Raw genomic sequence first — 3,296 nt, forward strand, 5'->3', positions numbered from 1 at the left:
TTTCATAAACCTAAGACCTGAAACTACAAATATTCTAGAAGGTAACATTGGAAAAACCCTTCTAGACATTGGCTTAGGCAAGGATTTCATGACCAAGAACCCAAAAGCAAATGCTATAAAAACAAAGATAAATAGCTCTAATTAAAGAGCTTTTGCACAGCAAAAGGAACAGTCAGCAGAGTAAACAGACGACCCACAGAGTGGGAGAAAATCTTCACAATCTATACATCTGACAAAGGACTAACATCCAGAATCTACAACGAACTCAAACAAATCACTAAGAAAAAAACAAACAATCTCATCAAAAAGTGAGCTAAGGACATGAATAGACAATTCTCAAAAGAAGATATACAAATGGCCAACAAACATGTGGGAAAATGCCAACATCACTAATGATCAGGGAAATGCAAATCAAAACCACAGTGTGATACCACCTCACTCTTGCAAGAATGGCCATAATCAAAGAATCAAGAAACAGTAGATGTCAGTGTGGATGCAGACATCAGGGAACACTTCTACACTGCTGGTGGGAATGTAAACTAGTACAGCCACTGTGGAAAACAGTGTGCAGATTCCTTAAAGAACGAAAAGTAGAACTGCCATTTGATCCAACAATCCCACTACTGGGTATCCACCCAGAGAAAAAGAAGTCATTATTTAAAAGGTACTTGCACACGCATGTTTATAGCAGCACAATTCACAACTGGAAAATTGTGGAAACAACCCAAATGTCCATCAATCAATGAGTGGATAAAGAAACTGTGATATATATATATATATATGATGGAATACTAAGCAGCCATAAAAAGGAATGAATTAACCGCATTTTCAGTGACCTGGATGAGATTGGAGACTATTATTCTAAGTGAAGTAACTCAGGAATGGAAAACCAAACATCTACGTTCTCACTGACATGTGGGAGCTAAGCTATGAAGCTGCAAAGGCATAAGAATGATACAGTGGACTTTGGGGACTTGGGGGGAAGAGTGGGAGGGGGGCGAGAGATAAAAGACTACAAATATGGTGCAGTGTATACTGCTCAGGTGATGGGTGCACCAAAATCTCACAAATCACCACTAAAGAACTTACTCATGTAACCAAATACCACCTGTACCCCAATAACTTATGGAAAAATAAAAAAATTCAATAAATAAATAATAAAATAATTGCTTATACCATTTCCTTGATGATGCTAGGAAATTTTACCAGTTTAACTCCATTTACCACCAACTCATCTTTTGTATTATTGTCATGCATTTTGAACTTCATAGATATTTTTATTCTCAAAATAAATTGTTTTTGCACAGTCATTAAAAAAATTTAGTAAAAAAAATTCTATTATTGAGGGGATTTCTCCCAACTACAGATGCTACTACCACCAGACCCCCTTAATCTTCATGCTAGTTTCTAGCTCTAAAATCAAAGTATTGGTCAGTTGACAACAAGGTTGTGTTTCATTTGACTCTAACAATAGTATGACAAATCCTCTCATGTTTGTGTATTTGTGAAGGTTCTAAGGTAGATGTTAATACCGGGAGTTTCTCAAATCATCAGTGATACCACCCTTTGAAGCTATGGCTGGGCTACTAGTTTCTTCCAATTACTCAAGCTGCCAAGGAAGCTGTGAGCCTTTGAAAGGGAGATTTCAGCCCCTTCCCCACTTCTGACATCTTAGGGGGTCACATTGCTGCTCCAAGTATTCTCTCTAGAAGCCATCCTAGACTGAGCCTGCCTATGTTCCAAGGACTCAGCTGTGTGAGGGAGTTGGCCTCCCAAATCATCTGGATGAGGAAGACTTTCATGTCTGCACATGCACACTTGACCATAGATATTAGTGCACATATGATCAGCAAGTAAGGAAAGGAATAAATCAAAGAGGTATATTATAAGTAATTTTAGTCATTTTAATTTTAAATAATTGGTTTCATCTAAGTGATCTCAATTAGGTCATGATATGTCTTAAGTTGAATGTTACTCTAGCTTAATTTTTTTGTTTCTGAGAGTTCCAAGACTGGTCTGAGGACAGCCATCTTTAATAGATGGTGTGTCTTTGAAAGGTGGAGTGTATAACATTATATTTCAAAAAGCAGCAAAGTAACTCTTACACATTGAAACAGGGTCCCCTAGTAGAGCAGAGGTCCCTAAAGAGCTTCTTAGATGGAAATCCCAGTCACTACTACTAGTAATCTATTCCTTCTACTTCTCACTTAATGGGACCTATTTCTGTGTTTACCTGAACAAAAGGTATTCTTATGCAAGATTTGTTTCTTGATTAATTTAGGCAATCTGTATTTCCTATCTAATCCCTTGGAAATGAAAAGGCGCATGATCGGTGTGAGAGAATGGGTTTATAGAAAGCCTCCACTAGCCCTCTTGAAGAATTTACGGGTAGCCTGAGGCCAAGGAGATACAGTAGGGCTTTCCTGTTCCAGTCTGTGCACATGCAGGAAGATCTGCCAGGAGAGAATATCTAAGGATAACCCAGAGAAAGGGTGATAGAGAATACAAGGCTTATAGCAGCCTTTCAGCTTATATTGCAAACTCCTTGCTGGTAAGGCCTTAGATATTGGGTTTATTGTGTGATTACATGGCCAAGGGAATGTGGTGGGGGATGGTTTCTATGTACCAGAAACTGCTTAGAAAAATTAGCTCATTTAATCCTTGGAACAACCCTTGGAGGTAGGTAGGATCATTATCCCCATTTTATAAATGAGGATATAAGCTGCATTTCTTTCTTTTATCAGTTTATTGTGCTTCCTTTTTGTCACTCTCTAATTTATGACAGTGGAGCAGAAGGAAAAACACAGGTTTCTTTGAACTTCTGGTAGCTTGGTCATCAAATGTATAAATATATACATGTATATGCTTATTCTGCAAATACTTTTTGAGCACCTACTATATGCAAGGCATTTGCTTGATACTGTTGAAAATGGGAAGATAAATGCCAAACTGCAGCAATCAAATGCTCACAGCCAGTACAGGAGATTAAAAAATAAAGACTTAAACTTCACTGTGATAGTGCAATAACGCAATTGATTATTTCAAAAAGAGAGGAATGGAACCAGTGAATCCTGCAAATCTCTGTGAACCAGAACTCATCCACAGCTTGACCCCAGTAGATAAATAGCTTCTTTTTTTTTTTTTTTTTGAGATGGAGTCTCGCTCTTGTCACCCAGGCTGGAGTGCAGTGGTGTGATCTCGGCTCACTGCAACCTCCGCCTCCTGGGTTCAAGTGATTCTTCTGCCTCAGCCTCCTGAGTAGCTGGGATTACAGGTACCCGCCACTATGCCGAGCT

Source organism: Homo sapiens, chromosome 4 (genome assembly GCF_000001405.40).
Source record: "Homo sapiens chromosome 4, GRCh38.p14 Primary Assembly".
In the NCBI taxonomy this organism is placed as follows: Eukaryota; Metazoa; Chordata; class Mammalia; order Primates; family Hominidae; genus Homo; species Homo sapiens.